The sequence below is a fragment of the Homo sapiens genome, chromosome 8 (assembly GCF_000001405.40).
Source record: "Homo sapiens chromosome 8, GRCh38.p14 Primary Assembly".
Lineage (NCBI taxonomy): Eukaryota > Metazoa > Chordata > Mammalia > Primates > Hominidae > Homo > Homo sapiens.
The window spans coordinates 43,964,394-43,983,744 of record NC_000008.11 but is presented as its reverse complement, the minus strand read 5'-3'; the positions used below and the strand labels follow the sequence as shown (position 1 = coordinate 43,983,744).

Sequence of the window (19,351 nt, the reverse complement as noted above, 5' to 3'; positions counted from 1 at the left end):
AATCTTCAAAAAGAGTGTTCCAGAAGTACTGCATGAAACGAAAGCTTCGAGTCCGTTAGTTGAGGACACGCATCACAAATAAGTTTCTCAGAATGCTTCTGTCTTGTTTTCATTGGAACATATTTCCCTTTTCACCATAGTTCAGAAAGCGCTCCAAATGTCCACTTCCAGATACTCCAAAAAGAGTGTTTCCAACCTGCTCTATGAATGGGAATGTTCCACTCTGTGACTTGAATGGAAATATGGCAAAGTATTTTCTGAGTATGCTGCTGTGTACGTTTTATATTGCATCCCGTTTCCAACGAAATCCTCAAAGCGATCCAAATATCCACTTGCAGATTCCAAAAAAAGAGTGTTTCAAACTGCTCTGTCAGTACAAAGGTTCAACACTGTTAGTTGATTAGAGGCATCATAAACAAGTTCCTGAGATAGCTTCTATGTCGCTTTTATGGGAAGATATTTCCTTTTACACCATAGGCCTGAAAGCGCTCCAAATGTCCACTTCCAGATACTACAAAATGAGTGTTTCCAACCTGCTCTATGAAACGGAAGGTTCAACTTTGTGACTTGATTGCAAACATCACGAAGGTGTTTCTGAGGATGTTTCTGTCTAGATTTTCTTTGAAGACATTACCGTTTCCAACGAAATCCTCAAAGCTAGCCAAATATCCACCTGCAGATCCTACAAAAAGAGTGTTTCAAAAGTGCTCTGTCCAAACAAAGGTTCAATTCTGACAGTTGAGTGCACACATCACAAACGTGATTCTGCGAATGCTTCTGTCTAGTTTTTGTCGGAAGATATTTCCTTTTTCAGCATAGGCCCCAAGGAGCTCAAAATGTCCACTGCCAGATAGTACGAGAAGATTGTTTCAAACCTGCTCTGAGAAAGGGGAATGTTCAACTCTGTGACTTGAATGTACACATCCCTAAGATGTTTCTTAGAATGCTTCTGGCTAGATTTTATTTGAAGATATTCCCGTTTCCAACGAAATCCTCAAAGCTTTCCAAATATACACTTCCAGATTCTATAAAAAGAATGTTTCAAAACAGTTCTGTCCAAAGAAAGGTTCAACTCTGTTAGTGGAGAACACACATCACAATCCAGGTTCTGAGAATGCTTCTGTCTAAATTTTCTATGAAGACATTCCCGTTTCCAACGAAATCCTCACAGCTATCCAAATATCCACTTGCAGATTCTACAAAAAAGGTGGTTCAAAACTGCTGTATCAAAAGAATGGATCAACACTGTTAGTTGAGTACCCACATCACAAACGTGATTCTCAGAATGCTTCTGTCTAGTTTCTGTAGGTAGATATTTCCTTTTTCAGCATAGGCCTGAAAGCGCTCCAAATGCCCGCTTCCAGACACTATAAAAAGGGGGTTTCAAACCTACTCTATGAAAGGGAATGTTCAACTCTGAGAGCTGGATGCAAACATCACAAAGAAGTTTCTGAGAATGCTGCTGTCTACTTTTGATATATAATCCCGTTTCCAACGAAATCCTCAAATCTAGCCAAATATCCACTTGCAGATTCCAAAAGAAGAGTGTCTCAAAACTGCTCTATCAATAGAAATGTTCAGCACAGTTAGTTGAGTAGATACAGCATAAACATGTTTCTGAGATTACTTCTATCTCGCATTCATGGGAAGATATTTCCTTTTTCCAGATAGGCTACAAAGCCCTCCAAATGTCCACTTCGAGATACTACAAATAGAGTGCTGCACAACTGCTCTATGTGAGGGGATGTTCAATTCTGTGACTTGAATGCAGACACCACATAGAAGTTTCTGAGAATGCTGCTGTCTAATTTTTATATGTAAGCCCGTTTCCAACGAAATCCTCAAAGCTAACCAAATATCCGCATGCAGAATCTTCAAAAAGAGTGTTCCAGAAGTACTGCATGAAACCAAAGCTTCGAGTCCGTTAGTTGAGGACACGCATCACAAATAAGTTTCTCAGAATGCTTCTGTCTTGTTTTCATTGGAACATATTTCCCTTTTCACCATAGTTCAGAAAGCGCTCCAAATGTCCACTTCCAGATACTCCAAAAAGAGTGTTTCAAACCTGCTCTATGAATGGGAATGTTCCACTCTGTGACTTGAATGGAAATATGGCAAAATATTTTCTGAGTATGCTGCTGTGTACGTTTTATATTGCATCCCGTTTCCAACGAAATCCTCAAAGCGATCCAAATATCCACTTGCAGATTCCAAAAAAAGAGTGTTTCAAACTGCTCTGTCAGTACAAAGGTTCAACACTGTTAGTTGATTGGAGGCATCATAAACAAGTTCCTGAGATAGCTTCTATGTCGCTTTTATGGGAAGATATTTCCTTTTACACCATAGGCCTGAAAGCGCTCCAAATGTCCACTTCCAGATACTACAAAATGAGTGTTTCCAACCTGCTCTATGAAACGGAAGGTTCAACTCTGTGACTTGATTGCAAACATCACGAAGGTGTTTCTGAGGATGTTTCTGTCTAGATTTTCTTTGAAGACATTACCGTTTCCAACGAAATCCTCAAAGCTAGCCAAATATCCACCTGCAGATCCTACAAAAAGAGTGTTTCAAAAGTGCTCTGTCCAAACAAAGGTTCAATTCTGACAGTTGAGTGCACACATCACAAACGTGATTCTGCGAATGCTTCTGTCTAGTTTTTGTCGGAAGATATTTCCTTTATCAGCATAGGCCCCAAGGAGCTCAAAATGTCCACTGCCAGATAGTACGAGAAGATTGTTTCAAACCTGCTCTGAGAAAGGGGAATGTTCAACTCTGTGACTTGAATGTAAACATCCCTAAGATGTTTCTTAGAATGCTTCTGGCTAGATTTTATTTGAAGATATTCCCGTTTCCAACGAAATCCTCAAAGCTTTCCAAATATCCACTTCCAGATTCTATAAAAAGAATGTTTCAAAACAGTTCTGTCGAAAGAAAGGTTCAACTCTGTTAGTGGAGAACACACATCACAATCCAGGTTCTGAGAATGCTTCTGTCTAAATTTTCTATGAAGAAATTCCCGTTCCCAACGAATCCTCACAGCTATCCAAATATCCATTGCAGATTCTACAAAAAGGGTGGTTCAAAACTGCTGTATCAAAAGAATGGATCAACACTGTTAGTTGAGTACCCACATCACAAACGTGATTCTCAGAATGCTTCTGTCTAGTTTCTGTAGGTAGATATTTCCTTTTTCAGCATAGGCCTGAAAGGGCTCCAAATGCCCGCTTCCAGACACTATAAAAAGGGGGTTTCAAATCTACTCTATGAAAGGGAATGTTCAACTCTGAGAGCTGGATGCAAACATCACAAAGAAGTTTCTGAGAATGCTGCTGTCTACTTTTTATATATAATCCCGTTTCCAACGAAATCCTCAAATCTAGCCAAATATCCACTTGCAGATTCCAAAAGAAGAGTGTCTCAAAACTGCTCTATCAATAGAAATGTTCAGCACAGTTAGTTGAGTAGATACAGCATAAACATGTTTCTGAGATTACTTCTATCTCGCATTCATGGGAAGATATTTCCTTTTTCCAGATAGGCTACAAAGCCCTCCAAATGTCCACTTCGAGATACTACAAATAGAGTGCTGCACAACTGCTCTATGTGAGGGGATGTTCAATTATGTGACTTGAATGCAGACACCACAAAGAAGTTTCTGAGAATGCTGCTGTCTAATTTTTATATGTAAGCCCGTTTCCCACGAAATCCTCAAAGGTATCCAAATATCCGCATGCAGAATCTTCAAAAAGAGTGTTCCAGAAGTACTGCATGAAACGAAAGGTTTGAGTACGTTAGTTGAGGACACGCATCACAAATAAGTTTCTCAGAATGCTTCTGTCTTGTTTTCATTGGAAGATATTTCCTTTTTCACCATAGTTCAGAAAGCGCTCCAAATGTCCACTTCCAGATACTCCAAAAAGAGTGTTTCAAACCTGCTCTATGAATGGGAATGTTCCACTCTGTGACTTGAATGGAAATATGGCAAAGTATTTTCTGAGTATGCTGCTGTGTACGTTTGATATTGCATCCCGTTTCCAACGAAATCCTCAAAGCGATCCAAATATCCACTTGCAGATTCCAAAAAAAGAGTGTTTCAAACTGCTCTGTCAGTACAAAGGTTCAACACTGTTAGTTGATTAGATGCATCATAAACAAGTTCCTGAGATAGCTTCTATGTCGCTTTTATGGGAAGATATTTCCTTTTACACCATAGGCCTGAAAGCGCTCCAAATGTCCACTTCCAGATACTACAAAATGAGTGTTTCAAACCTGCTCCATGAAACGGAAGGTTCAACTCTGTGACTTGATTGCAAACATCACGAAGGTGTTTCAGAGGATGTTTCTGTCTAGATTTTCTTTGAAGACATTACCGTTTCCAACGAAATCCTCAAAGCTAGCCAAATATCCACCTGCAGATTCTACAAAAAGAGTGTTTCAAAAGTGCTCTGTCCAAACCAAGGTTCAATTCTGACAGTTGAGTGCACACATCACAAACGTGATTCTGCGAATTTCTCTCTCTAGTTTTTGTCGGAATATATTTCCTTTTTCAGCATAGGCCCCAAGGAGCTCAAAATGTCCACTGCCAGATAGTACGAGAAGATTGTTTCAAACCTGCTCTGAGAAAGGGGAATGTTCAACTCTGTGACTTGAATGTACACATCCCTAAGATGTTTCTTAGAATGCTTCTGGCTAGATTTGATTTGAAGATATTCCCGTTTCCAACGAAATCCTCAAAGCTTTCCAAATATCCACTTCCAGATTCTATAAAAAGAATGTTTCAAAACAGTTCTGTCCAAAGGAAGGTTCAACTCTGTTAGTGGAGAACACACATCACAATCCAGGTTCTGAGAATGCTTCTGTCTAAATTTTCTATGAAGACATTCCCGTTTCCAACGAAATCCTCACAGCTATCCAAATATCCACTTGCAGATTCTACAAAAAGTGTGGTTCAAAACTGCTGTATCAAAAGAATGAATCAACACTGTTAGTTGAGGACCCACATCACAAACGTGATTCTCAGAATGCTTCTGTCTAGTTTCTGTAGGTAGATATTTCCTTTTTCAGCATAGGCCTGAAAGCGCTCCAAATGCCCGCTTCCAGACACTATAAAAAGGGGGTTTCAAACCTACTCTATGAAAGGGAATGTTCAACTCTGAGAGCTGGATGCAAACATCACAAAGAAGTTTCTGAGAATGCTGCTGTCTACTTTTGATATATAATCCCGTTTCCAACGAAATCCTCAAATCTAGCCAAATATCCACTTGCAGATTCCAAAAGAAGAGTGTCTCAAAACTGCTCTATCAATAGAAATGTTCAGCACAGTTAGTTGAGTAGATACAGCATAAACCTGTTTCTGAGATTACTTCTATCTCGCATTCATGGGAAGATATTCCCTTTTTCCAGATAGGCTACAAAGCCCTCCAAATGTCCACTTCGAGATACTACAAATAGAGTGCTGCACAACTGCTCTATGTGAGGGGATGTTCAATTCTGTGACTTGAATGCAGACACCACAAAGAAGTTTCTGAGAATGCTGCTGTCTAATTTTTATATATAAGCCCGTATCCAAAGAAATCCTCAAAGCTATCCAAATATCCGCATGCAGAATCTTCAAAAAGAGTGTTCCAGAAGTACTGCATGAAACGAAAGGTTTGAGTACGTTAGTTGAGGACACGCATCACAAATAAGTTTCTCAGAATGCTTCTGTCTTGTTTTCATTGGAACATATTTCCTTTTTCACCATAGTTCAGAAAGCGCTCCAAATGTCCACTTCCAGATACTCCAAAAAGAGTGTTTCAAACCTGCTCTATGAATGGGAATGTTCCACTCTGTGACTTGAATGGAAATATGGCAAAGTATTTTCTGAGTATGCTGCTGAGTACGTTTTATATTGCATCCCGTTTCTAACGAAATCCTCAAAGCGATCCAAATATCCACTTGCAGATTCCAAAAAAAGAGTGTTTCAAACTGCTCTGTCAGTACAAAGGTTCAACACTGTTAGTTGATTAGATGCATCATAAACAAGTTCCTGAGATAGCTTCTATGTCGCTTTTATGGGAAGATATTTCCTTTTACACCATAGGCCTGAAAGCGCTCCAAATGTCCACTTCCAGATACTACAAAATGCGTGTTTCCAACCTGCTCTATGAAACGGAAGGTTCAACTCTGTGACTTGATTGCAAACATCACGAAGGTGTTTCTGAGGATGTTTCTGTCTAGATTTTCTTTGAAGACATTACCGTTTCCAACGAAATCCTCAAAGCTAGCCAAATATCCACCTGCAGATTCTACAAAAAGAGTGTTTCAAAAGTGCTCTGTCCAAACAAAGGTTCAATTCTGACAGTTGAGTGCACACATCACAAACGTGATTCTGCGAATGCTTCTGTCTAGTTTTTGTCGGAAGATATTTCCTTTTTCAGCATAGGCCCCAAGGAGCTCAAAATGTCCACTGCCAGATAGTACGAGAAGATTGTTTCAAACCTGCTCTGAGAAAGGGGAATGTTCAACTCTGTGACTTGAATGTACACATCCCTAAGATGTTTCTTAGAATGCTTCTGGCTAGATTTTATTTGAAGATATTCCCGTTTCCAACGAAATCCTCAAAGCTTTCCAAATATCCACTTCCAGATTCTATAAAAAGAATGTTTCAAAACAGTTCTGTCAAAAGAAAGGTTCAACTCTGTTAGTGGAGAACACACATCACAATCCAGGTTCTGAGAATGCTTCTGTCTAAATTTTCTATGAAGAAATTCCCGTTCCCAACGAATCCTCACAGCTATCCAAATATCCACTTGCAGATTCTACAAAAAGGGTGGTTCAAAACTGCTGTATCAAAAGAATGGATCAACACTGTTAGTTGAGTACCCACATCACAAACGTGATTCTCAGAATGCTTCTGTCTAGTTTCTGTAGGTAGATATTTCCTTTTTCAGCATAGGCCTGAAAGCGCTCCAAATGCCCGCTTCCAGACACTATAAAAAGGGGGTTTCAAACCTACTCTATGAAACGGAATGTTCAACTCTGAGACCTGGATGCAAACATCACAAAGAAGTTTCTGAGAATGCTGCTGTCTACTTTTTATATATAATCCCGTTTCCAACGAAATCCTCAAATCTAGCCAAATATCCACTTGCAGATTCGAAAAGAAGAGTGTCTCAAAACTGCTCTATTAATAGAAATGTTCAGCACACTTAGTTGAGTAGATACAGCATAAACATGTTTCTGAGATTACTTCTATCTCGCATTCATGGGAAGATATTTCCTTTTTCCAGATAGGCTACAAAGCCCTCCAAATGTCCACTTCCAGATACTACAAATAGAGTGCTGCACAACTGCTCTATGTGAGGGGATGTTCAGTTCTGTGACTTGAATGCAGACACCACAAAGAAGTTTCTGAGAATGCTGCTGTCTAATTTTTATATGTAAGCCCGTTTCCAACGAAATCCTCAAAGCTATCCAAATATGCGCATGCAGAATCTTCAAAAAGAGTGTTCCAGAAGTACTGCATGAAACGAAAGGTTCGAGTCCGTTAGTTGAGGACACGCATCACAAATAAGTTTCTCAGAATGCTTCTGTCTTGTTTTCATTGGAAGATATTTCCTTTTTCACCATAGTTCAGAAAGCGCTCCAAATGTCCACTTCCAGATACTCCAAAAAGAGTGTTTCAAACCTGCTCTATGAATGGGAATGTTCCACTCTGTGACTTGAATGGAAATATGGCAAAGTATTTTCTGAGTATGCTGCTGTGTACGTTTTATATTGCATCCCGTTTCCAACGAAATCCTCAAAGCGATCCAAATATCCACTTGCAGATTCCAAAAAAAGAGTGTTTCAAACTGCTCTGTCAGTACAAAGGTTCAACACTGTTAGTTGATTAGAGGCATCATAAACAAGTTCCTGAGATAGCTTCTATGTCGCTTTTATGGGAAGATATTTCCTTTTACACCATAGGCCTGAAAGCGCTCCAAATGTCCACTTCCAGATACTACAAAATGAGTGTTTCCAACCTACTCTATGAAACGGAAGGTTCAACTCTGTGACTTGATTGCAAACATCACGAAGGTGTTTCTGAGGATGTTTCTGTCTAGATTTTCTTTGAAGACATTACCGTTTCCAACGAAATCCTCAAAGCTAGCCAAATATCCACCTGCAGATCCTACAAAAAGAGTGTTTCAAAAGTGCTCTGTCCAAACAAAGGTTCAATTCTGACAGTTGAGTGCACACATCACAAACGTGATTCTGCGAATGCTTCTGTCTAGTTTTTGTCGGAAGATATTTCCTTTTTCAGCATAGGCCCCAAGGAGCTCAAAATGTCCACTGCCAGATAGTACGAGAAGATTGTTTCAAACCTGCTCTGAGAAAGGGGAATGTTCAACTCTGTGACTTGAATGTACACATCCCTAAGATGTTTCTTAGAATGCTTCTGGCTAGATTTTATTTGAAGATATTCCCGTTTCCAACGAAATCCTCAAAGCTTTCCAAATATACACTTCCAGATTCTATAAAAAGAAAGTTTCAAAACAGTTCTGTCAAAAGAAAGGTTCAACTCTGTTAGTGGAGAACACACATCACAATCCAGGTTCTGAGAATGCTTCTGTCTAAATTTTCTATGAAGACATTCCCGTTCCCAACGAATCCTCACAGCTATCCAAATATCCATTGCAGATTCTACAAAAAAGGTGGTTCAAAACTGCTGTATCAAAAGAATGGATCAACACTGTTAGTTGAGTACCCACATCACAAACGTGATTCTCAGAATGCTTCTGTCTAGTTTCTGTAGGTAGATATTTCCTTTTTCAGCATAGGCCTGAAAGCGCTCCAAATGCCCGCTTCCAGACACTATAAAAAGGGGGTTTCAAATCTACTCTATGAAAGGGAATGTTCAACTCTGAGAGCTGGATGCAAACATCACAAAGAAGTTTCTGAGAATGCTGCTGTCTACTTTTTATATATAATCCCGTTTCCAACGAAATCCTCAAATCTAGCCAAATATCCACTTGCAGATTCCAAAAGAAGAGTGTCTCAAAACTGCTCTATCAATAGAAATGTTCAGCACAGTTAGTTGAGTAGATACAGCATAAACATGTTTCTGAGATTACTTCTATCTCGCATTCATGGGAAGATATTTCCTTTTTCCAGATAGGCTACCAAGCCCTCCAAATGTCCACTTCGAGATACTACAAATAGAGTGCTGCACAACTGCTCTATGTGAGGGGATGTTCAATTATGTGACTTGAATGCAGACACCACAAAGAAGTTTCTGAGAATGCTGCTGTCTAATTTTTATATGTAAGCCCGTTTCCCACGAAATCCTCAAAGGTATCCAAATATCCGCATGCAGAATCTTCAAAAAGAGTGTTCCAGAAGTACTGCATGAAACGAAAGGTTTGAGTACGTTAGTTGAGGACACGCATCACAAATAAGTTTCTCAGAATGCTTCTGTCTTGTTTTCATTGGAAGATATTTCCTTTTTCACCATAGTTCAGAAAGCGCTCCAAATGTCCACTTCCAGATACTCCAAAAAGAGTGTTTCAAACCTGCTCTATGAATGGGAATGTTCCACTCTGTGACTTGAATGGAAATATGGCAAAGTATTTTCTGAGTATGCTGCTGTGTACGTTTGATATTCATCCCGTTTCCAACGAAATCCTCAAAGCGATCCAAATATCCACTTGCAGATTCCAAAAAAAGAGTGTTTCAAACTGCTCTGTCAGTACAAAGGTTCAACACTGTTAGTTGATTAGATGCATCATAAACAAGTTCCTGAGATAGCTTCTATGTCGCTTTTATGGGAAGATATTTCCTTTTACACCATAGGCCTGAAAGCGCTCCAAATGTCCACTTCCAGATACTACAAAATGAGTGTTTCCAACCTGCTCTATGAAACGGAAGGTTCAACTCTGTGACTTGATTGCAAACATCACGAAGGTGTTTCAGAGGATGTTTCTGTCTAGATTTTCTTTGAAGACATTACCTTTTCCAACGAAATCCTCAAAGCTAGCCAAATATCCACCTGCAGATTCTACAAAAAGAGTGTTTCAAAAGTGCTCTGTCCAAACCAAGGTTCAATTCTGACAGTTGAGTTCACACATCACAAACGTGATTCTGCGAATGCCTCTGTCTAGTTTTTGTCGGAATATATTTCCTTTTTCAGCATAGGCCCCAAGGAGCTCAAAATGTCCACTGCCAGATAGTACGAGAAGATTGTTTCAAACCTGCTCTGAGAAAGGGGAATGTTCAACTCTGTGACTTGAATGTACACATCCCTAAGATGTTTCTTAGAATGCTTCTGGCTAGATTTGATTTGAAGATATTCCCGTTTCCAACGAAATCCTCAAAGCTTTCCAAATATACACTTCCAGATTCTATAAAAAGAATGTTTCAAAACAGTTCTGTCCAAAGAAAGGTTCAACTCTGTTAGTGGAGAACACACATCACAATCCAGGTTCTGAGAATGCTTCTGTCTAAATTTTCTATGAAGACATTCCCGTTTCCAACGAAATCCTCACAGCTATCCAAATATCCACTTGCAGATTCTACAAAAAGTGTGGTTCAAAACTGCTGTATCAAAAGAATGAATCAACACTGTTAGTTGAGGACCCACATCACAAACGTGATTCTCAGAATGCTTCTGTCTAGTTTCTGTAGGTAGATATTTCCTTTTTCAGCATAGGCCTGAAAGCGCTCCAAATGCCCGCTTCCAGACACTATAAAAAGGGGGTTTCAAACCTACTCTATGAAAGGGAATGTTCAACTCTGAGAGCTGGATGCAAACATCACAAAGAAGTTTCTGAGAATGCTGCTGTCTACTTTTGATATATAATCCCGTTTCCAACGAAATCCTCAAATCTATCCAAATATCCACTTGCAGATTCCAAAAGAAGAGTGTCTCAAAACTGCTCTATCAATAGAAATGTTCAGCACAGTTAGTTGAGTAGATACAGCATAAACCTGTTTCTGAGATTACTTCTATCTCGCATTCATGGGAAGATATTCCCTTTTTCCAGATAGGCTACAAAGCCCTCCAAATGTCCACTTCGAGATACTACAAATAGAGTGCTGCACAACTGCTCTATGTGAGGGGATGTTCAATTCTGTGACTTGAATGCAGACACCACAAAGAAGTTTCTGAGAATGCTGCTGTCTAATTTTTATATATAAGCCCGTATCCAACGAAATCCTCAAAGCTATCCAAATATCCGCATGCAGAATCTTCAAAAAGAGTGTTCCAGAAGTACTGCATGAAACGAAAGGTTTGAGTACGTTAGTTGAGGACACGCATCACAAATAAGTTTCTCAGAATGCTTCTGTCTTGTTTTCATTGGAACATATTTCCTTTTTCACCATAGTTCAGAAAGCGCTCCAAATGTCCACTTCCAGATACTCCAAAAAGAGTGTTTCAAACCTGCTCTATGAATGGGAATGTTCCACTCTGTGACTTGAATGGAAATATGGCAAAGTATTTTCTGAGTATGCTGCTGAGTACGTTTTATATTGCATCCCGTTTCCAACGAAATCCTCAAAGCGATCCAAATATCCACTTGCAGATTCCAAAAAAAGAGTGTTTCAAACTGCTCTGTCAGTACAAAGGTTCAACACTGTTAGTTGATTAGATGCATCATAAACAAGTTCCTGAGATAGCTTCTATGTCGCTTTTATGGGAAGATATTTCCTTTTACACCATAGGCCTGAAAGCGCTCCAAATGTCCACTTCCAGATACTACAAAATGAGTGTTTCCTACCTGCTCTATGAAACGGAAGGTTCAACTCTGTGACTTGATTGCAAACATCACGAAGGTGTTTCTGAGAATGCTTCTGTCTAGATTTTCTTTGAAGACATTACCGTTTCCAACGAAATCCTCAAAGCTAGCCAAATATCCACCTGCAGATTCTACAAAAAGAGTGTTTCAAAAGTGCTCTGTCCAAACAAAGGTTCAATTCTGACAGTTGAGTGCACACATCACAAACGTGATTCTGCGAATGCTTCTGTCTAGTTTTTGTCGGAAGATATTTCCTTTTTCAGCATAGGCCCCAAGGAGCTCAAAATGTCCACTGCCAGATAGTACGAGAAGATTGTTTCAAACCTGCTCTGAGAAAGGGGAATGTTCAACTCTGTGACTTGAATGTACACATCCCTAAGATGTTTCTTAGAATGCTTCTGGCTAGATTTTATTTGAAGATATTCCCGTTTCCAACGAAATCCTCAAAGCTTTCCAAATATCCACTTCCAGATTCTATAAAAAGAATGTTTCAAAACAGTTCTGTCAAAAGAAAGGTTCAACTCTGTTAGTGGAGAACACACATCACAATCCAGGTTCTGAGAATGCTTCTGTCTAAATTTTCTATGAAGAAATTCCCGTTCCCAACGAATCCTCACAGCTATCCAAATATCCACTTGCAGATTCTACAAAAAGGGTGGTTCAAAACTGCTGTATCAAAAGAATGAATCAACACTGTTAGTTGAGTACCCACATCACAAACGTGATTCTCAGAATGCTTCTGTCTAGTTTCTGTAGGTAGATATTTCCTTTTTCAGCATAGGCCTGAAAGCACTCCAAATGCCCGCTTCCAGACACTATAAAAAGGGGGTTTCAAACCTACTCTATGAAACGGAATGTTCAACTCTGGGACCTGGATGCAAACATCACAAAGAAGTTTCTGAGAATGCTGCTGTCTACTTTTTATATATAATCCCGTTTCCAACGAAATCCTCAAATCTAGCCAAATATCCACTTGCAGATTCGAAAAAAAGAGTGTCTCAAAACTGCTCTATTAATAGAAATGTTCAGCACACTTAGTTGAGTAGATACAGCATAAACATGTTTCTGAGATTACTTCTATCTCGCATTCATGGGAAGATATTTCCTTTTTCCAGATAGGCTACAAAGCCCTCCAAATGTCCACTTCGAGATACTACAAATAGAGTGCTGCACAACTGCTCTATGTGAGGGGATGTTCAGTTCTGTGACTTGAATGCAGACACCACAAAGAAGTTTCTGAGAATGCTGCTGTCTAATTTTTATACGTAAGCCCGTTTCCAACGAAATCCTCAAAGCTATCCAAATATCCGCATGCAGAATCTTCAAAAAGAGTGTTCCAGAAGTACTGCATGAAACGAAAGGTTCGAGTCCGTTAGTTGAGGACACGCATCACAAATAAGTTTCTCAGAATGCTTCTGTCTTGTTTTCATTGGAAGATATTTCCTTTTTCACCATAGTTCAGAAAGCGCTCCAAATGTCCACTTCCAGATACTCCAAAAAGAGTGTTTCAAACCTGCTCTATGAATGGGAATGTTCCACTCTGTGACTTGAATGGAAATATGGCAAAGTATTTTCTGAGTATGCTGCTGTGTAAGTTTTATATTGCATCCTGTTTCCAACGAAATCCTCAAAGTGATACAAATATCCACTTGCAGATTCCAAAAAAAGAGTGTTTCAAACTGCTCTGTCAGTACAAAGGTTCAACACTGTTAGTTGATTAGATGCATCATAAACAAGTTCCTGAGATAGCTTCTATGTCGCTTTTATGGGAAGCTATTTCCTTTTACACCATAGGCCTGAAAGCGCTCCAAATGTCCACTTCCAGATACTACAAAATGAGTGTTTCCAACCTGCTCTATGAAACGGAAGGTTCAACTCTGTGACTTGATTGCAAACATCACGAAGGTGTTTCTGAGTATGTTTCTGTCTAGATTTTCTTTGAAGACATTACCGTTTCCAACGAAATCCTCAAAGCTAGCCAAATATCCACCTGCAGATTCTACAAAAAGAGTGTTTCAAAAGTGCTCTGTCCAAACCAAGGTTCAATTCTGACAGTTGAGTGCACACATCACAATCGTGATTCTGCGAATGCTTCTGTCTAGTTTTTGTCGGAAGATATTTCCTTTTTCAGCATAGGCCCCAAGGAGCTCAAAATGTCCACTTCCAGATAGTACGAGAAGATTGTTTCAAACGTGCTCTGTGAAAGGGAATGTTCAACTCTGTGACTTGAATGTAAACATCCCTAAGATGTTTCTTAGAATGCTTCTGGCTAGATTTTATTTGAAGATATTCCCGTTTCCAACGAAATCCTCAAAGCTTTCCAAATATCCACTTCCAGATTCTATAAAAAGAATGTTTCAAAACAGTTCTGTCAAAAGAAAGGTTCAACTCTGTTAGTGGAGAACACACATCACAATCAAGGTTCTGAGAATGCTTCTGTCTAAATTTTCTATGAAGACATTCCCGTTTCCAACGAAATCCTCACAGCTATCCAAATATCCACTTGCAGATTCTACAAAAAGGGTGGTTCAAAACTGCTGTATCAAAAGAATGGATCAACACTGTTAGTTGAGTACCCACATCACAAACGAGATTCTCAGAATGCTTCTGTCTAGTTTCTATAGGTAGATATTTCCTTTTTCAGCATAGGCCTGAAAGCGCTCCAAATGCCCGCTTCCAGACACTACAAAAAGGGGGTTTCAAACCTACTCTATGAAAGGGAATATTCAACTCTGAGAGCTGGATGCAAACATCACAAAGAAGTTTCTGAGAATGCTGCTGTCTACTTTTTATATATAATCCCGTTTCCAACGAAATCCTCAAATCTAGCCAAATATCCACTTGCAGATTCCAAAAGAAGAGTGTCTCAAAACTGCTCTATCAATAGAAATGTTCAGCACAGTTAGTTGAGTAGATACAGCATAAACATGTTTCTGAGATTACTTCTATCTCGCATTCATGGGAAGATATTTCCTTTTTCTACATAGATAGGCTACAAAGCCCTCCAAATGTCCACTTCGAGATACTACAAATAGAGTGCTGCACAACTGCTCTATGTGAGGGGATGTTCAATTCTGTGACTTGAGTGCAGACACCACAAAGAAGTTTCTGAGAATGCTGCTGTCTAATTTTTATATGTAAGCCCGTTTCCAACGAAATCCTCAAAGCTATCCAAATATCCGCATGCAGAATCTTCAACAAGAGTGTTCCAGAAGTACTGCATGAAACGAAAGGTTCGAGTCCGTTAGTTGAGGACACGCATCACAAATAAGTTTCTCAGAATGCTTCTGTCTTGTTTTCATTGGAAGATATTTCCTTTTTCACCATAGTTCAGAAAGCGCTCCAAATGTCCACTTCCAGATACTCCAAAAAGAGTGTTTCAAACCTGCTCTATGAATGGGAATGTTCCACTCTGTGACTTGAATGGAAATATGGCAAAGTATTTTCTGAGTATGCTGCTTTGTACGTTTTATATTGCATCCCGTTTCCAACGAAATCCTCAAAGCGATCCAAATATCTACTTGCAGATTCCAAAAAAAGAGTGTTTCAAACTGCTCTGTCAGTACAAAGGTTCAACACTGTTAGTTGATTAGATGCATCATAAACAAGTTCCTGAGATAGCTTCTATGTCGTTTTTATGGGAAGCTATTTCCTTTTTCTCCATAGGCCTGAAAGCGCTCCAGATGTCCACTTCCAGATACTACAAAAAGAGTGTTTCCAACCTGCTCTATGAAACGGAAGGTTCAACTCTGTGACTTGATTGCAAACATCACGAAGGTGTTTCTGAGGATGTTTCTGTCTAGATTTTCTTTGAAGACATTACCGTTTCCAACGAAATCCTCAAAGCTAGCCAAATATCCACCTGCAGATTCTACAAAAAGAGTGTTTCAAAAGTGCTCTGTCCAAACCAAGGTTCAATTCTGACAGTTGAGTGCACACATCACAAACGTGATTCTGCGAATGCTTCTGTCTAGTTTTTGTTGGAAGATATTTCCTTTTTCAGCATAGGCCCCAAGGAGCTCAAAATGTCCACTTCCAGATAGTACGAGAAGATTGTTTCAAACCTGCTCTGTGAAAGGGAATGTTCAACTCTGTGACTTGAATGTAAACATCCCTAAGATGTTTCTTAGCATGCTTCTGGCTAGATTTGATTTGAAGATATTCCCGTTTCCAACGAAATCCTCAAAGCTTTCCCAATATCCACTTCCAGATTCTATAAAAAGAATGTTTCAAAACAGTTCTGTCAAAAGAAAGGTTCAACTCTGTTAGTGGAGAACACACATCACAATCAAGGTTCTGAGAATGCTTCTGTCTAAATTTTCTATGAAGACATTCCCGTTTCCAACGAAATCCTCACAGCTATCCAAATATCCACTTGCAGATTCTACAAAAAGGGTGGTTCAAAACTGCTGTATCCATAGAATGGATCAACACTGTTAGTTGAGTACCCACATCACAAACGAGATTCTCAGAATGCTTCTGTCTAGTTTCTATAGGTAGACATTTCCTTTTTCAGCATAGGCCTGAAAGCGCTCCAAATGCCCGCTTCCAGACACTATAAAAAGAGGGTTTCCAACCTACTCTATGAAAGGGAATGTTCAACTCTGAGAGCTGGATGCAAACATCACAAAGAAGTTTCTGAGAATGCTGCTGTCTACTTTTTATATATAATCCCGTTTCCAACGAAATCCTCAAATCTATCCAAATATCCACTTGCAGATTCCAAAAGAAGAGTGTCTCGAAACTGCTCTTTCAATAGAAATGTTCAGCACAGTTAGTTGAGTAGATACAGCATAAACATGTTTCTGAGATTACTTCTATCTCGCATTCATGGGAAGATATTTCCTTTTTCCAGATAGGCTACAAAGCCCTCCAAATGTCCACTTCGAGATACTACAGATAGAGTGCTGCACAACTGCTCTATGTGAGGGGATTTTCAATTCTGTGACTTGAATGCAGACACCACAAAGAAGTTTCTGAGAATGCTGCTGTCTAATTTTTATATGTAAGCCCGCTTCCAACGAAATCCTCAAAGCTATCCAAATATCCACATGCAGAATCTTCAAAAAGAGTGTTCCAGAGGTACTGCATGAAACGAAAGGTTCAAGTCCGTTAGTTGAGGACACATATCGCAAATAAGTTTCTCAGAATGCTTCTGTCTTGTTTTCATTGGAAGATATTTCCTTTTTCACCATAGTTCAGAAAGCGCTCCAAATGTCCACTTCCAGATACTCCAAAAAGAGTGTTTCAAACCTGCTTTATGAATGGGAATGTTCCACTCTGTGACTTGAATGGAAATATGGCAAAGTATTTTCTGAGTATGCTGCTGTGTACGTTTTATATTGCATCCCGTTTCCAACGAAATCCTCAAAGCGCTCCAAATATCCACTTGCAGATTCCAAAAAATGAGTGTTTCAAACTGCTCTGTCAGTACAAAGGTTCAACACTGTTAGTTGATTAGATGCATCATAAACAAGTTCCTGAGATAGCTTCTATGTCGTTTTTATGGGAAGCTATTTCCTTTTTCACCATAGGCCTGAAAGCGCTCCAGATGTCCACTTCCAGATACTACAAAAAGAGTGTTTCCAACCTGCTCTATGAAACGGAAGGTTCAACTCTGTGACTTGATTGCAAACATCACGAAGGTGTTTCTGAGGATGTTTCTGTCTAGATTTTCTTTGAAGACATTACCGTTTCCAACGAAATCCTCAAAGCTAGCCAAATATCCACCTGCAGATTCTACAAAAAGAGTGTTTCAAAAGTGCTCTGTCCAAACAAAGGTTCAATTCTGACAGTTGAGTGCACACATCACAAACGTGATTCTGCGAATGCTTCTGTCTGGTTCTTGTCGGAAGATATTTCCTTTTTCAGCATAAGCCCCAAGGAGCTCAAAATGTCCACTTCCAGATAGTACGAGAAGATTGTTTCAAACCTGCTCTGTGAAAGGGAATGTTCAACTCTGTGACTTGAATGTAAACATCCCTAAGATGTTTCTTAGAATGCTTCTGGCTAGATTTTATTTGAAGATATTCCCGTTTCCAACGAAATCCTCAAAGCTTTCCAAATATCCACTTCCAGATTCTATAAAAAGAATGTTTCAAAACAGTTCTGTCAAAAGAAAGGTTCAACTCTGTTAGTGGAGAACACACATCACAATCAAGGTTCTGAGAATGCTTCTGTCTAAATTTTCTATGAAGACATTCCCGTTTCCAATGAAATCCTCAAAGCTATCCAAATATCCACTTGCAGATTCTACAAAAGGGTGGTTCAAAACTGCTCTATTGAAAGGAATATTTACCTCTGTGAGTTGAATGCAAACATCACAAAGTAGTTTCTGAGAATGTTTCTGTCTAGTTTTTATGTGAAGATGTTTCCTTTTCTAACATAGGCCTCAAAGCGCTCTAAATATACATTTGCAAGTAGTTCAAAAAGATTGTTTCAAAACTGCTCTATCAAAAGTAATTTAAACACTGTGAGTTGAACACACACCTCACAAAGTTGTTTCTGAGAATATTTCTGTCCAGTTTTTATATGAAGATATTTCCTTTTCTACCATAGGCCTCAAACTGCTCTAAATATCCACTTGTAAATTCTACAAAAAGAGAGTTTCAAAACTGCTCTATCGAAAGAAGGTTCAATACTGTGAATGTAATGCACACATCACAAAGATGTTTCTGAGAATTCTTCTGTCTAGTTTTTATATGAAGAAATTCCCGTTTCCAATGAAGGCCTCAGAGAGGTCCAAATATCCACTTGGCAGATTCTACAAAAAGAGTCTTACAATACTGCTCTATCAAAAGGAATGTACAACAATGGGAGTTGAATGCAGACATCAAAAAAATTTTCTCAGATTTCTTCTGTCTAGCATTTAAGTGAAGAAATTCCCGTTTCCAATGAATGCCTCAAAGAGGTCCAAATATCCACCTGCAGATTCTACAAAAAGAGTGTTTCAAAAGTGCTCAATCAAAACGAATGTTCAACTCTGTGAGTTGAATGCAAACAACACAAAGTAGTTTCTGAGAATGCTTCTGTGTAGTTTTTATGTGAACATATTTTCTTTTCTACCGTGGGTCTCAAAGCACTGTAATTTTCCACTTGCAGTTTCTACAGAAAGTGTGTTTCAAAACTGCTCTACCAAAAGGAAGTTTAAACTCTGTGATTTGAATGCACACATCACAAAATGTTTCTGAGATTTCTTCTCTCAAGGTTGTAAGTGAAGAAATTCCAGTTTCCAACGAAGTCCTCAAAGATGTCAAAATATCCACTTGCAGATTCTACAACAAGAGTGCTTCAAAAATCTTCTATCAATAGGAAGGTTCAACTCTGTGAGTTGAATGCAGACATAACAAAGAAGCTTCTGAGAATACTTCTGTCTACTTTCTATGTGAAGATATACCCGTTTCCAAAGAAGGCCTCAAAGCGATCCAAATATCCACTTGCAGATTCTACAAAAAGAGTGTTTCAATACTGCTCTATCAAAAGGAAGTTTCAACTCTGTGAGTTGAAAGCACACATCAAAAAGAAGTTTCTGGGAATGATACTTTCTAGTTTTTACGTGAAGATATTTCCTTTTCAATAGTAGGCCTCAAAGG

The 19,351-nt window shown here is 39.1% G+C and overlaps 22 annotated features.

The window, feature by feature from the left end:
- Positions 1,065–1,648: an enhancer, noted in NCBI's record as "OCT4-NANOG-H3K27ac-H3K4me1 hESC enhancer chr8:43837240-43837823 (GRCh37/hg19 assembly coordinates)". NCBI's record gives its function as "activates a minimal SCP1, AML or CMV promoter by ChIP-STARR-seq in primed H9 embryonic stem cells {active_cell/tissue: H9 hESC(primed)}" and the evidence as "EXISTENCE:reporter gene assay evidence [ECO:0000049][PMID:30033119]".
- Positions 1,649–2,233: an enhancer, noted in NCBI's record as "OCT4-NANOG-H3K27ac-H3K4me1 hESC enhancer chr8:43836655-43837239 (GRCh37/hg19 assembly coordinates)". NCBI's record gives its function as "activates a minimal SCP1, AML or CMV promoter by ChIP-STARR-seq in primed H9 embryonic stem cells {active_cell/tissue: H9 hESC(primed)}" and the evidence as "EXISTENCE:reporter gene assay evidence [ECO:0000049][PMID:30033119]".
- Positions 2,234–2,817: an enhancer, noted in NCBI's record as "OCT4-NANOG-H3K27ac-H3K4me1 hESC enhancer chr8:43836071-43836654 (GRCh37/hg19 assembly coordinates)". NCBI's record gives its function as "activates a minimal SCP1, AML or CMV promoter by ChIP-STARR-seq in primed H9 embryonic stem cells {active_cell/tissue: H9 hESC(primed)}" and the evidence as "EXISTENCE:reporter gene assay evidence [ECO:0000049][PMID:30033119]".
- Positions 2,818–3,402: an enhancer, noted in NCBI's record as "OCT4-NANOG-H3K27ac-H3K4me1 hESC enhancer chr8:43835486-43836070 (GRCh37/hg19 assembly coordinates)". NCBI's record gives its function as "activates a minimal SCP1, AML or CMV promoter by ChIP-STARR-seq in primed H9 embryonic stem cells {active_cell/tissue: H9 hESC(primed)}" and the evidence as "EXISTENCE:reporter gene assay evidence [ECO:0000049][PMID:30033119]".
- Positions 3,403–3,987: an enhancer, noted in NCBI's record as "OCT4-NANOG-H3K27ac-H3K4me1 hESC enhancer chr8:43834901-43835485 (GRCh37/hg19 assembly coordinates)". NCBI's record gives its function as "activates a minimal SCP1, AML or CMV promoter by ChIP-STARR-seq in primed H9 embryonic stem cells {active_cell/tissue: H9 hESC(primed)}" and the evidence as "EXISTENCE:reporter gene assay evidence [ECO:0000049][PMID:30033119]".
- Positions 3,988–4,572: an enhancer, noted in NCBI's record as "OCT4-NANOG-H3K27ac-H3K4me1 hESC enhancer chr8:43834316-43834900 (GRCh37/hg19 assembly coordinates)". NCBI's record gives its function as "activates a minimal SCP1, AML or CMV promoter by ChIP-STARR-seq in primed H9 embryonic stem cells {active_cell/tissue: H9 hESC(primed)}" and the evidence as "EXISTENCE:reporter gene assay evidence [ECO:0000049][PMID:30033119]".
- Positions 4,573–5,156: an enhancer, noted in NCBI's record as "OCT4-NANOG-H3K27ac-H3K4me1 hESC enhancer chr8:43833732-43834315 (GRCh37/hg19 assembly coordinates)". NCBI's record gives its function as "activates a minimal SCP1, AML or CMV promoter by ChIP-STARR-seq in primed H9 embryonic stem cells {active_cell/tissue: H9 hESC(primed)}" and the evidence as "EXISTENCE:reporter gene assay evidence [ECO:0000049][PMID:30033119]".
- Positions 5,157–5,741: an enhancer, noted in NCBI's record as "OCT4-NANOG-H3K27ac-H3K4me1 hESC enhancer chr8:43833147-43833731 (GRCh37/hg19 assembly coordinates)". NCBI's record gives its function as "activates a minimal SCP1, AML or CMV promoter by ChIP-STARR-seq in primed H9 embryonic stem cells {active_cell/tissue: H9 hESC(primed)}" and the evidence as "EXISTENCE:reporter gene assay evidence [ECO:0000049][PMID:30033119]".
- Positions 6,911–7,494: an enhancer, noted in NCBI's record as "OCT4-NANOG-H3K27ac-H3K4me1 hESC enhancer chr8:43831394-43831977 (GRCh37/hg19 assembly coordinates)". NCBI's record gives its function as "activates a minimal SCP1, AML or CMV promoter by ChIP-STARR-seq in naive H9 embryonic stem cells {active_cell/tissue: H9 hESC(naive)}" and the evidence as "EXISTENCE:reporter gene assay evidence [ECO:0000049][PMID:30033119]".
- Positions 7,495–8,079: an enhancer, noted in NCBI's record as "OCT4-NANOG-H3K27ac-H3K4me1 hESC enhancer chr8:43830809-43831393 (GRCh37/hg19 assembly coordinates)". NCBI's record gives its function as "activates a minimal SCP1, AML or CMV promoter by ChIP-STARR-seq in naive and primed H9 embryonic stem cells {active_cell/tissue: H9 hESC(naive and primed)}" and the evidence as "EXISTENCE:reporter gene assay evidence [ECO:0000049][PMID:30033119]".
- Positions 8,080–8,663: an enhancer, noted in NCBI's record as "OCT4-NANOG-H3K27ac-H3K4me1 hESC enhancer chr8:43830225-43830808 (GRCh37/hg19 assembly coordinates)". NCBI's record gives its function as "activates a minimal SCP1, AML or CMV promoter by ChIP-STARR-seq in naive H9 embryonic stem cells {active_cell/tissue: H9 hESC(naive)}" and the evidence as "EXISTENCE:reporter gene assay evidence [ECO:0000049][PMID:30033119]".
- Positions 8,664–9,249: an enhancer, noted in NCBI's record as "OCT4-NANOG-H3K27ac-H3K4me1 hESC enhancer chr8:43829639-43830224 (GRCh37/hg19 assembly coordinates)". NCBI's record gives its function as "activates a minimal SCP1, AML or CMV promoter by ChIP-STARR-seq in naive and primed H9 embryonic stem cells {active_cell/tissue: H9 hESC(naive and primed)}" and the evidence as "EXISTENCE:reporter gene assay evidence [ECO:0000049][PMID:30033119]".
- Positions 10,418–11,001: an enhancer, noted in NCBI's record as "OCT4-NANOG-H3K27ac-H3K4me1 hESC enhancer chr8:43827887-43828470 (GRCh37/hg19 assembly coordinates)". NCBI's record gives its function as "activates a minimal SCP1, AML or CMV promoter by ChIP-STARR-seq in naive and primed H9 embryonic stem cells {active_cell/tissue: H9 hESC(naive and primed)}" and the evidence as "EXISTENCE:reporter gene assay evidence [ECO:0000049][PMID:30033119]".
- Positions 11,002–11,587: an enhancer, noted in NCBI's record as "OCT4-NANOG-H3K27ac-H3K4me1 hESC enhancer chr8:43827301-43827886 (GRCh37/hg19 assembly coordinates)". NCBI's record gives its function as "activates a minimal SCP1, AML or CMV promoter by ChIP-STARR-seq in naive and primed H9 embryonic stem cells {active_cell/tissue: H9 hESC(naive and primed)}" and the evidence as "EXISTENCE:reporter gene assay evidence [ECO:0000049][PMID:30033119]".
- Positions 11,588–12,171: an enhancer, noted in NCBI's record as "OCT4-NANOG-H3K27ac-H3K4me1 hESC enhancer chr8:43826717-43827300 (GRCh37/hg19 assembly coordinates)". NCBI's record gives its function as "activates a minimal SCP1, AML or CMV promoter by ChIP-STARR-seq in naive and primed H9 embryonic stem cells {active_cell/tissue: H9 hESC(naive and primed)}" and the evidence as "EXISTENCE:reporter gene assay evidence [ECO:0000049][PMID:30033119]".
- Positions 12,172–12,755: an enhancer, noted in NCBI's record as "OCT4-NANOG-H3K27ac-H3K4me1 hESC enhancer chr8:43826133-43826716 (GRCh37/hg19 assembly coordinates)". NCBI's record gives its function as "activates a minimal SCP1, AML or CMV promoter by ChIP-STARR-seq in naive and primed H9 embryonic stem cells {active_cell/tissue: H9 hESC(naive and primed)}" and the evidence as "EXISTENCE:reporter gene assay evidence [ECO:0000049][PMID:30033119]".
- Positions 12,756–13,339: an enhancer, noted in NCBI's record as "OCT4-NANOG-H3K27ac-H3K4me1 hESC enhancer chr8:43825549-43826132 (GRCh37/hg19 assembly coordinates)". NCBI's record gives its function as "activates a minimal SCP1, AML or CMV promoter by ChIP-STARR-seq in naive H9 embryonic stem cells {active_cell/tissue: H9 hESC(naive)}" and the evidence as "EXISTENCE:reporter gene assay evidence [ECO:0000049][PMID:30033119]".
- Positions 13,340–13,925: an enhancer, noted in NCBI's record as "OCT4-NANOG-H3K27ac-H3K4me1 hESC enhancer chr8:43824963-43825548 (GRCh37/hg19 assembly coordinates)". NCBI's record gives its function as "activates a minimal SCP1, AML or CMV promoter by ChIP-STARR-seq in naive H9 embryonic stem cells {active_cell/tissue: H9 hESC(naive)}" and the evidence as "EXISTENCE:reporter gene assay evidence [ECO:0000049][PMID:30033119]".
- Positions 15,094–15,677: an enhancer, noted in NCBI's record as "OCT4-NANOG-H3K27ac-H3K4me1 hESC enhancer chr8:43823211-43823794 (GRCh37/hg19 assembly coordinates)". NCBI's record gives its function as "activates a minimal SCP1, AML or CMV promoter by ChIP-STARR-seq in primed H9 embryonic stem cells {active_cell/tissue: H9 hESC(primed)}" and the evidence as "EXISTENCE:reporter gene assay evidence [ECO:0000049][PMID:30033119]".
- Positions 15,678–16,263: an enhancer, noted in NCBI's record as "OCT4-NANOG-H3K27ac-H3K4me1 hESC enhancer chr8:43822625-43823210 (GRCh37/hg19 assembly coordinates)". NCBI's record gives its function as "activates a minimal SCP1, AML or CMV promoter by ChIP-STARR-seq in naive and primed H9 embryonic stem cells {active_cell/tissue: H9 hESC(naive and primed)}" and the evidence as "EXISTENCE:reporter gene assay evidence [ECO:0000049][PMID:30033119]".
- Positions 16,264–16,847: an enhancer, noted in NCBI's record as "OCT4-NANOG-H3K27ac-H3K4me1 hESC enhancer chr8:43822041-43822624 (GRCh37/hg19 assembly coordinates)". NCBI's record gives its function as "activates a minimal SCP1, AML or CMV promoter by ChIP-STARR-seq in naive and primed H9 embryonic stem cells {active_cell/tissue: H9 hESC(naive and primed)}" and the evidence as "EXISTENCE:reporter gene assay evidence [ECO:0000049][PMID:30033119]".
- Positions 18,018–18,603: an enhancer, noted in NCBI's record as "OCT4-NANOG-H3K4me1 hESC enhancer chr8:43820285-43820870 (GRCh37/hg19 assembly coordinates)". NCBI's record gives its function as "activates a minimal SCP1, AML or CMV promoter by ChIP-STARR-seq in naive H9 embryonic stem cells {active_cell/tissue: H9 hESC(naive)}" and the evidence as "EXISTENCE:reporter gene assay evidence [ECO:0000049][PMID:30033119]".